The sequence below is a fragment of the Homo sapiens genome, chromosome 17 (assembly GCF_000001405.40).
Source record: "Homo sapiens chromosome 17, GRCh38.p14 Primary Assembly".
In the NCBI taxonomy this organism is placed as follows: domain Eukaryota; kingdom Metazoa; phylum Chordata; class Mammalia; order Primates; family Hominidae; genus Homo; species Homo sapiens.
In genome coordinates, this window is record NC_000017.11 from 5583441 (window position 1) to 5594274 (window position 10834).

General features: G+C 48.9%; 1 protein-coding gene across 5 annotated transcripts in view, besides 3 other annotated features; it reads right to left on the reverse strand.

Annotated features, from left to right (window-relative positions):
* Positions 1-1069, reverse strand: part of NLRP1 (NLR family pyrin domain containing 1) — an 83114-nt gene extending 82045 nt beyond the window's left edge. For all 5 annotated transcript variants that reach the window (NM_001033053.3, NM_033007.4, NM_033006.4 and 2 more), the window contains exon 1: positions 247-1069. In NM_001033053.3, the coding sequence (NP_001028225.1) occupies positions 247-517 (271 nt within the window). In that variant the 5' untranslated portion in view covers positions 518-1069. The remainder of the gene's footprint in view (positions 1-246) is intronic.
* Positions 407-1606: an enhancer, noted in NCBI's record as "CDK7 strongly-dependent group 2 enhancer chr17:5487167-5488366 (GRCh37/hg19 assembly coordinates)". NCBI's record gives its function as "activates an origin of replication core promoter dependent on BRD2, BRD4, P300/CBP, MED14 and CDK7 cofactors, with strong dependence on CDK7, by STARR-seq in HCT116 cells {active_cell/tissue: HCT116}" and the evidence as "EXISTENCE:reporter gene assay evidence [ECO:0000049][PMID:35650434]".
* Positions 878-1137: an enhancer, noted in NCBI's record as "active region_11580". NCBI's record gives its function as "activates an Ori minimal core promoter by ATAC-STARR-seq in GM12878 lymphoblastoid cells {active_cell/tissue: GM12878}" and the evidence as "EXISTENCE:reporter gene assay evidence [ECO:0000049][PMID:35858748]".
* Positions 1158-1457: an enhancer, noted in NCBI's record as "active region_11581". NCBI's record gives its function as "activates an Ori minimal core promoter by ATAC-STARR-seq in GM12878 lymphoblastoid cells {active_cell/tissue: GM12878}" and the evidence as "EXISTENCE:reporter gene assay evidence [ECO:0000049][PMID:35858748]".

Below are 10834 nucleotides of genomic sequence, written 5' to 3' on the forward strand. Positions count from 1 at the left end.
CGAGTACCGGGAATGCACTTGAATAGAAGAGGGTGTGGGGCTCTGAGGTGCAGCAAGGGCCCCCCCAGCAAGCCTCCTGGCTCCAGCATAGTCTGGGGCCTGGATCCCCCTTTGAGAGGGCAGTTCCATGTCACTGCTCAGAGGAAGGCCTGGCAGGGAGGGCTCAGTGGTGGGGTCCCAAGAGGGCAGGGCAGGCATGAGGGCCAGGGGATGTCCCGCGGGCAGTGGGGTCCTCTGTCCACTCACCTGCCCCTTCCTGGGCTTGGGCGCACAGTGACCTCAGCCCCATCTGCTCCCAGGTATGGAGGGCTAGGTCCCAGGCCCGCTGCTCCCCATACTGAGCCACCAGGTACGAGGCCACCTCCATGCCACTCGTCTTCTCTGGCTGAGCGGGTGTCTCACCCGAAGAGCTCCTGGAGTGCGCTTTATTGGCGAGCAGAAGCTGGAACTCCTTCAGCTCCTCCTTCTTCAGGAACTCCAAGTAACAGGCCAGGCGGCCCCAGGCTCCGCCAGCCATCTCTGTCCCGGAGTTAAGAGGGTGTCTGGGGGATGTTCCCAGGTGGTGAGGGTATCAGGCAGGCAGAGAACAGTGCTGTCCTTTGCCTTGGCTCTTACCGTCTCTTATTCAGCATTCGGAACCCAGTTTTATAAATCCCAGGGCACCTACAGATAGACGCCGATAGAGGGGGAGTGGTAGGAAAAGCCAGGGGAGGGAGGAGCCCAGAGGGGCCTGCAAGACACTGGAAGAAGTCAGCTGATAGGGAGGTCCTGGGATGGGGTCCAGGGCCAGGCAGGGAGGGTGAGGGTGAGGGGAGATGTGGTGACGGGAGATGGGGTGTGGGCAACGCTCACTGTTCTGTGTTCCTCAGATTCTTCCCTCTCCTGGGTCCTGGACTCCTGAGATCAACCCTTGAGCTGCAAGGCTGAGAAGAGGTGGGGTGGGAGGAGCCGCAGAGCAGGGAATGGGCTTTCAGAACCCAGAGTGGAGCCCCGGGCTGCTGGCTCCCAGGTTTCTTCAGACCTCTCCAGGCCCTGGGGCACCAGCCAGCAAGAACAGCGCCTAGTCAACAAGAGCAGGAAGGAAACGTCACCCAGAGGAAACCCACAAGGGGCGTGGCCAGGGGGTAGGATCAAACCAGGCCTGGGTAGGCCAGACTCAGAGTCACAGATTCAGATGGGCCACATGGCATCTATAGGCGGACCAGGAGCACAGGCCCAGACCAGCTGACGCTGCAGCAGGTACAGGCCCATACTAAACACGGTGTGTGCACCTCCACATGGGCACTCCGCCAGCCCATCATCTAGAGCCTGTCTGCAGAGCCAGGATGCAGACTCTCCGAGCAGTTGTGTCTGCAGCCCAGGCCCAGCCTCTCAGGATGGGTGGGGCCCCCTGTGTCTGCCCGGGCAGCTCCTTATTGGGAAACATTAGAACTGGGCCAGGGAGCATTTTTCCCAGCCTCTCATGGTTTTGGGAGCTTCTTGAGTTGCACTGCATGTCCTGCCATGCTACCAGGGGCACTAAAGCATGTGTCCCAGGCCCAGGGGGCTGTTTGCCTTCTGGGCAGCCCAGCACTTAGCTGGTGAACATTTCCACCTGAAAGCAGAACAGCCCCTTCCTCATTCCTGCAAGCAGGCCTCGGGGAGCCAGGGGCAGACTTCCTCTTTCGTGGAATCTGCAAGATGCCAATGACTTCAGGTTGAGGAATGACATTGCCTACTCATTTGCTGATGTAACACACCACCAGGAATTTCTGGAGATGCTTTGGTTTCACTTGGACTGGCAGAGCCCAGGCTTCAACCCACGGCTTGCTTGGACAAGGACTCCTTATGTGCCTGATTTATTTCTTTGAGCCTCAGTTTGCCCATCTATTAAATGGGACATCATAGGTTTACCAAGAGGCTTCAATTCAGCAAAAGGTCTTAGAGTCTCTCTCTCTTTCCCAGGCTGGAGTGCAGTGGCAAGATCTCGGCTCACTGCAAGCTCCCTCCACCTCCTGGGTTCCAGCGATTCTCCTGCATCAGCCCAGCTTCCTGGGCAGTTGGGATTACAGTCACTCACCACCACGCCTGGCTAATTGTTTTGTATTTTTAGTAGAGATGGGGTTTCACCATGTTAGCCAGTCTGATCCGAGGTGATCCGCCCACTTCGGCCTCCCGAAATGTTGGGATTACAGGTGTGAGCCTCCGTGCCTGGCCTAAATAAATTTTATAAATGTTAGTTTTAAAAAATGGCTAATAAGCACATTGTAGGACATTCTAATATCAGATTGACCAGAAGTGGAAAAGTGCTGTGCTAAAAGTGGGATGATCGGGAGGCTCTGAGCACTCCGTGAAGGACCGTGAGACTCCATGTAGCGGGAGGAATGGCCTGGAGGAGGGCTGTGTGGGCTTTTTTTCCTCCTCACACCAGCCAGTTCTGGCACCAACTCTCTAGACACCAACTGGTGTCCTACAGTGCAATTCTGACACTGACTGCCTGGAGTTGGCATCAAACCTCACAGGTTTAGGGTTTCAGTGAAGAGCTGGCCTCATATCAGATGCCAGTTGCAAATGGGGTGCCCAGACCACTGGCATCTCTGTCTGACTTGGTGACAAATTCAAGGGTTCCCACAGTCCCCGGCAGGTTCAATAATTTGCTGAAATGACTCACAGGACTGAGAAAAGCACTTTATTTATTATTATCGGTTCATGATGGAGGATACGACTCAGGAATAGCCCAACGGAAGAGATGCCGAGGTCAAGGTGTGGGTGGGGGAGGGGCACAGCGCTTCCTTGCCCTCCCGGGCACCCTACTCTCCCTGCCCCTCCCTGCTTCACTAACCTGGAAGCTCTCCAAACCCCAAACAAACAAGACTGTGGGGTTTTCTCGGAGGTTTCACTTCACAGGCATAATTCATTAAATCACTGGCCGCTGGAGATCCACTCAACCTGTTAAATAGATCAGAAACCTGACCCTTCCCACCACGCCCACTGGGGCTGCTGGTCCAGCCTTCAGTCGTCTCTTACTGGGATCACTGTGCTAGCCTTCCACATGTTCTCCACCCATGCTGATGCTTCCCCTTTACTGTCTACTCTCAGTCTAGAAGCCAGAATTATCCACTTAAAGCATAAATTAGGTCAGGTCACTTCTCAGCTCAAAACTTTCCCATACTCCATCTCACTCTGAGTAAAAACCAAAGTCCAACCAAAGGTGTGGTGACTCGTGCCTGTAATCCCAGCACTTTGGGAGGCTGAGGTGGGAGGATCGCTTGAGTCCAGGAGTTCAAGACCAGTCTGGGAAACATGGCAAGACCCTGTCCCTATGACATAATATTAAAAAACTTCCCAAATCCGGCCAGGTACAGTGGCTCATGCCTGTAATCTCAGCACTTTGGGAGGCTGAGGCGGGCAGATCACCTGAGGCCAGGAGTTCAAGACCAGCCTGGCTAACATGGTGAAATCCCATCTCTAATAATTATAATACAAAAAAAATTATCCGGGTGTGGTGGCGCACGCCGTATTCCTTCAGGAGGCTGAGGCAGGAGAACTGCTTGAACCTGGGAGGCAGAGATTGCAGTGAGCCGAGATTGCACCATTGCACTCCAGCCTGGGCGACAAGAGCAAAACACAGTCTCAAACCAAACCAAACCAAACAACAACAACAACAACAACAACTCCCCAAATCTCCCAGAGCCCTCCCAATGGTTCCCGGGGGCTGCATGATCTAGCCCCTGATATCTCTCCGGCATTATATCCTACCCTATCCCCCTCCCTCACTGGATCCTCTTAGTCTTTTCCCTGTTCCTTGAATACACCAAGAATACTCTCACTCCAGGGCCTTTGCACTAGTCTTTCCATTGTCTTGGAATGGTTTCCCCAGATATTCAGAGGTGTGCTATCCAACCTTCTGTAAAGTAGAATTCCTTCATTCCGTGCTTCATTTTTCCGCATGACACTTATTATTGCCTGACGTTACAGACTTGTTTATTTGTTTACCTTCTGTCACCCCCTCCTGCCAATAGGATGTTAGGTCCCTGGAGACAGGACTTGGCTTGTTTTGTTCGCTGTTGTATCCGCTATGCCTAAATCAGTGCCTGGCCCACAATGTCAGCACAATCAATACCACAGACATTGAATGTCTTTTGAACGCTTTCCTTTAATGCTTTCCTTCTTATCCTTCCAAACAGCTACTCACTCTGGCCACTAGATGGCACTCAAGTACTTTCTGAGAATTGAAGCAGCCTCATGGGTTTGGTGGAGAGGACCCACTGGCGCTCTCTGAGCCTGAATTTTTAAAATTATCCCTGTTTCTGGTGCTTTGGGCCTTTGTTTCCTTTCCTTGAGGCATTTTAGGAACACATTAAAACTCACTTTTATTCAAGTCATGCTATTTTCAATTAAAACTTAACTCATGAGGAATATCTGTATGGCCAGTACTCCAGCAGAGTACAGTGAGGCCTTCTCTTTAGGTTCAAATTACTATGACTTGAATCAAGATCTGGATAACTTGAAATCAGCCTCCTTGAAATTCCTCTCCTCCCACCTATTTCTAAGCGTGTCCCAGGCATTGCCTCATGGGGTTCTGAAGTCAGTTCTTGGTTCCCCTCTGATCGACTGGTCTTGACTACCTTGCTGCCGTCCCTTTGGTCTCAGACCCCATTTCTATCCTCCTGAAGTTGCTGGGCCCAGGTGTCCTCTCTGTCACCACCATTTTAGGGCACGGCTCTTTTCTGGCCCATTCCTGAAATGTGGGACAAGATTTTCCCAATTTACGGCACAGCTGAGACCGTGACATGAGGATATGATTTTGAGCAAGAACTTCCCCAAGGTTCAGGGATGAAGGATAGTAAATACATCAGGGCATCACTCTCTGTAGCTGTGGCTCACACTGTCCTCAGAGCCCTCTCTGGTCCAGGATCATCCCTGCTATCCCTTTTCCAGCTGGAGCCCTCTGTAGCTCTGGTGCTTTCCATTACACACAGGCAGGTCATTGCCCAGCCTCAAGATTCTGCAGCCTCCTCTGCCCTTTGGAGGCCAGGACCCTCTGGCTCTAATACTTAGAAAGAGAACAAGCTGTCCTACATTCACATCACTCCTAGCACAGGCCCCAGGATTATCCTCCTTCCAGGATGATCGACATGGAAATATCTAGTCCCTTCAGGTGTGTGCTTGGTATTGTTGGAAATAAAAGCTCGGAGTCACAGAGAAAATGAGCACTCAAATAAAGGATTTTTTCAGCAAGGCAAATTTACTTCTGGAGAAGGGTCTCGCTTGCCCTTCTGGCCACTGCAAGAGCACACTGAACAAAGGAGGGAAGGGGTTTTTATCCCTGACCCAGTCAGTCCCTGATGCTGTGTCCGGGCCCCATTGGCTGGAGTTGGACTGCGCAGTCTAAGCTGATCCTGATTGGCTACTTCAAATGGAGCAGGGGTGGGGGCTACAGCAGCGGGAAGAGCAGTTTTGGCCAAATAAGGTACAGATGTGGGTTGTTTCAGATTGTGAATGGATGTGGGTTACAGACTGGGAATGGATGTGAGTTACAGATTGGGAACGGCTGGAAGGTTGTTTACTGTAACTAGGGGCAAGGAGGCAGAACAGTTAGGCTTTGAAAATAGAGGACAAAGAATGAGAGAATTGAACAAGCGGAACCTTTGAAAAGGAACTCACTGTATCCAACAGTGTTATGGACCCAACAAGATCATCTCAATAGTTTGACAATTCATTTCCCCCAAGTTGGTGTGTTTCAGGCTTAGATAAAACGGTGCTTTGAACATCAACAGGTGAAATCTTTTGTTAAAAAACATAGTCTAGTTCATCCAGCCCTCCTCCTCTCCCTGTTACTCCTCTTCCTCCTTCTAGTCTTTCCTCCAGTGTGAAGTGAAGGAAATATTAGGACTTGGTGTTGCCCCTACCATGGTCTGCTTTAATGTCCTGTGAACTTGGACAAGAATACACATACCCGCATCACCATCTTCCAAGAACACACGATAGCCAAAGGTCACAGTCAATTTACATCGGTTACAACAGAACGCATCTCTCACTCTGAGTATTCTCATTTGATCTTAACTGCATTTAAATCTCAGTAAAGAACAATGACTTGTTCCTGCTTTATAGGCCTAAAACACCCACCAATAAGGTCCTCTTAGAAACCAGGCAAGGCACACCCAGGTCTCTATGCTAAACGGAGGAAGTCATGCATAACTTTTCAGAGACCCTTTTTACTTTGAAAACATTTCAAACTTACAGGAAAATGTCAAGAGTTGTACAGTGAACTCCCATATAACCTTAACCTACATTCACCAATTATTAACATTTACTATTGTTTTATCTTTTAATTGTGTTTGCTGATTATTGGGAGTAAGTTGCAGATATGATAACATTTACTTCTTTTTTTTTTTTTTCCCCTGAGATGGAAGCTTGCTCTGTTGCCCAGGCTGGAGTGCAGTGGCACGATTGTCAGCTCACTACAACCTCTGCCTCCTGGGTTCAAGCGTTTCTCCTGCCTCAGCCTCTCTAGTAGCTGGGATTACAGGTGCCTGCCACCATGCCTGGCTAATTTTTGTATTTTTGTAGAGATGGGGTTTTGCCATGTTGGCCAGGCTGGTCTCGAACTCCTGACCTCAGGTGATCTGCACCCCCCCCCCCCTTGGCATCCCGAAGTGCTGGCATTACAGGCATGAGCCATCACAACTGGCCCATAACATTTACTTCTAAGAACTTTGGCAGTATCTACTAAGAATCAGGATGTTTTCTTATATGCCACTGTACAATGATAAAATTCAGGAAGCTTAAAACATTGATGCAATACTACTATCCAATTACATGTAACTTTTAAAATGACATTTTCATCTTGTTGTTTAGATTTATTAGGATTATAAAAATATAATACAGAAATATGTAGGGGGAAAAATAAAAATGTTCTTTTGACTTTCTGCACCATCAGATCTACTTCCCAGGAATAACCAATGTTACATGAATGTTTCAGTGTTCCACGAAAAAAAAAACACAGTTTTACATGAACACAGTTACTTTTCTATGTGCCAAATATATAGGATCTAAGTTTTTTAGGAGTGAATTTTTTTCCTCTTAAAATATTTTGCAGATCCCTCCATGTTAGTACATATGGATCTAAGTCGTTCTTTCTTCTCTTTTTGTAATTGTTGAGTTTTTCATAGTTTGGATCTACTATAATTTATTTGATTAGTCAAATTTGATGGAAATCTAGCTGGCTTTCATTTGCATTTTCCTGTTACCAGCCACATGGTGATAACCAACTTCGTACACAAGTGTATCTTATCACACACATGTGAGTACCTCCAAGGGACAGAGTCCCAGAAAAGGAATTTCTGGGTTGAAGAGATCACACATATAAAAATTTGGGTTCAGAAATGTGCTTCATGCCTGTAATCCCAGCACTTTGGGAAGCCAAGGTGGGCGGATCACGAGGTCAGGAGATTGAGACCATCCTGGCTAACATGATGAAACCCCATCTCTACTAAAAATACAAAAAGAAATTACCCGGGCATGGTGGCGGGTGCCTGTAGTCCCAGCTACTCGGGAGGTTGAGGCAGGGGAATGGCGTGAACCCGGGAGGCGGAGGTTACAGTGAGCCGAGATTGCGCCACTACACTCCAGCCTGGGCGACAGAGTGAGACTCCGTCTCAAAAAAAAAAAGAAAAAAAAGAAATATGCTTCTCTTGAGAGTTCATTATTTTTGTCTTTCAACCACGGCATCAAGCAACTAGACTCATGCATCTTTTATTTGTCTTCTGGGAGGTTTTCAAGTCAGAGGTTTGGCCCATCTCTTAAAAATGTACATGCCAAGTTCAATCTTAAAGCACATGATATGTCTACAGTGTTAACTCCTGGTTTCATCTTATTTTCTCCCTACTCTTGTTTTAATTTTGCTTGCTGTACATACTAAGGTAATAACATTTTAATTTTATCATGTATCTTTATATGTATGTAAATTTGTTCACTGAGTCGCTCCAGAACAATGTGCTGTGAGTACACAAAATGGTTGAATCCAGTTTTCTTTCTTTCCTCCCCTCCCCTCCCCTCCTCTCCTTTCCTTTCCTTCTTTTTTTTTTTTTTTCTCTCACCCTGTCCCCCAGGCTGGAGTGCAGCGGCACGATCTCGGCTCACTGCAACCTCCACCTCCCCGGTTCAAGCGATTCTTGTGCCTCAGCCTCCCAAGTAGCTGGGATTACAGGCATGCACCACCACATCCAGCTGATTTTTTATTTTTTAAATTTTTAGTAGAGACAGGGTTTCACCATGTTGGCCAGGCTGGTCTTGAACTCCTGACCTCAGGTGATCCGCCCACCTCGGCCTCCCAAAGTGCTGAGTTTATAGGCATGAGCCACTGCACCTGGCCTGAATGGAGTTTTCTTAATGACAGTCCTGGGAGTTGGGAGACAAGCAGATGACACGTCTGTTGAATGGGACCTGTTTCATACCAGGCACTTTGTAGAGTTAGCTCATTTCATTTTCCCAACTATTTTTTTAAGATTAAAATTATTGTCCCTATTTTGCAGATGAGAACCAGATCTATAAGACTCCAAAGCCTCCTCCTTCCCATGCATCGCAATGGCACTGATATGCTGAGTCGTGTGCTCGCCGAGTGACCAGCCAGCAGATCCCTCTCCAATAGGCTTGTCCTCCTCTCACTCCCGAGGCTGCTTTCGGCTTGCTCCGCGCTTGCCTTGGCCATTACATGGGGGAAGCCCGAGCCTCTCAGAACGTATCTGTACCTCAAGTGGATTGTTGCCTACCCCTCCCTATGGAGGCTTCTGAGCTAGAAAATACAGAGGTCAGATGATGGCCGCTGAGAACATCCAGCTCCATGGATGACAATCAAAGCAAGGGGGCTTTAAGTGCAGCAGGAGGAACTAGGATTAGCCCTGGGGTAGGACTTCTGCCCAGTGAGGGATGCTAAGTTGTAGGAATGAGATAGGGGAGGTTAGCGTGGAATTCCCTTCCAGAAGCCTTTAAGAATAAGCTAAATTTGCAACTGTCTGGGGCTTACTGCGGAGAATTAATGACGCCCCTTGTGACAGCCCTGCTAAACCTCCCTAGAAAACTACAAATCCATGATGTCAACTGGTCGTTAAACTCCATTACTCCAGGCTCTCTTTTCTTGACAAAATTTAATTTAGGCCAGTAGGTGGCGATAATTAAACAGCTGATTAAACAGGGCTTCTTCTAATCATGAGAGAATGCATTAAAAGCAATCTGGAAGGTTGCTTCTGGGAGCAAGAGGAGGAACCTTTCTGTGAATCCAGTGCTGATTGAGGTGCAATTAGCAGATCCACTAACGGGATGCCTCTCCTGACTCTTAAGGATCTCCTAGGCTCCCACCGTGATCACTTTTTTTTTTGAGCCATGGTCTTACTCTGTCACCCAGGCTGGAGTGGCAGTGGTGTGATAACGGCTTACTGCAGCCTTGACCTCCCAGACTCGAGATCCTCCCACCTCAGCCCCCCAAGTAGCTGGGACTACAGATTCGAGCCACCGCACCTGTCTTTTTTTTTTTTTTTTTAAACTTTTTTGTAGAGACAGGATCCCATTATGTTGCCCAGGCTGGTCTTGAACTCCTAGGCTCAAGAAATCCTCCCACCTTAGTTTCCCAAAGTGTTCGGATTACAGGTGTGAGCCACTATGCCCAGCCTATGATCATTTTTCCTTAGACTGGAGGACAAGGCTCTGCTGCCCAATGGATCTTGGGCAGATTTTTTTTTTTTTTGGAGAAGGAGTCTCGCTCTGTTGCCAGGCTGGAGTGCAGTGGCGTGATCTCTGCTCACTGCAACCTCTGCCTCCTGGGTTCAAGGGATTCTCCTGCTTCAGCCTCCCGAGGAGCTGGGACTACAGGTGCCTGCCACCACGCCCAGCTAATTTTTGTACTGTTAGTAGAAACAGGGTTTCACCATGTTGGCTAGGATGGTCTCGATATCTTGACCCCATGATCCACCCGCCTTGGCCTCCCAAAGTGCTGGGATTACAGGCGTGAGCCACCGCGCCCGGCCCCAAGTCCCCCTTTTCAAGGAGGTGTGGCCTGGAACAATCAGACCAAGGCCCATCTGCAGTTTCCCCCAGACTAGGGAGCTCTCCGGCTGCAGGGGAGAGGCCACTGATTCTTGATGTGTTCTTGCCTATTTCTTACACTATAACTTTTTTGAGGGCAGGGATTATGTCCATTTTGCACACCACCATACAACCGGCACCTAATGCAGTGGATTAGTTATATGTAAGTAGAAGTTCACTATGTGTTGAACAAAGGAATGAATGAAGGTTAGGACAAGAGCTGGCCTTCATGGAGCTGTCCAGGGTTCTTACCAGTCCCTGACTTCCTTCGACGGATTGGTCTTTTGCTTTCTTGCCTTCCTCCCAGGGCTTTGCGGCAACACGACACAGAACCTGTTCCTCGCATGTACTCACGGAATCACGCACCTCCTTGACAGTCTCACTGTGTCTGTGGCGGCCCCCAAACAGCCTGCTGAGCTAACTCCGAAAGAGTGGTTCTCTCTGCACAGAACCACTCGGGTTAAATGCCTCATTCTTCATCTGTGTCTATGGAGTTTTTAGTTCTGAATCCCAGTCCCTTCCATGTCACTACGGTTGAAGGATGTGTGGTAGGAAGTGGCACGAGAGGTTGCTGGAGGGGTGAGCTGGGGCCAGTCTGCAGGGGCTTAGGGCATGAATTCATGGGGCAGGGAGTGTGCCTTGCCCATCTCTGGGTGCTCAGTGTCCTGCACAGTTCCAGGCACAAAGTCAGCTCTCAATAAAAGGCGCATAATTTCTCATCGTGCAGGACTGTGCAAGGATATGGCACATGTGGACCTGGCTCTAAACTCAC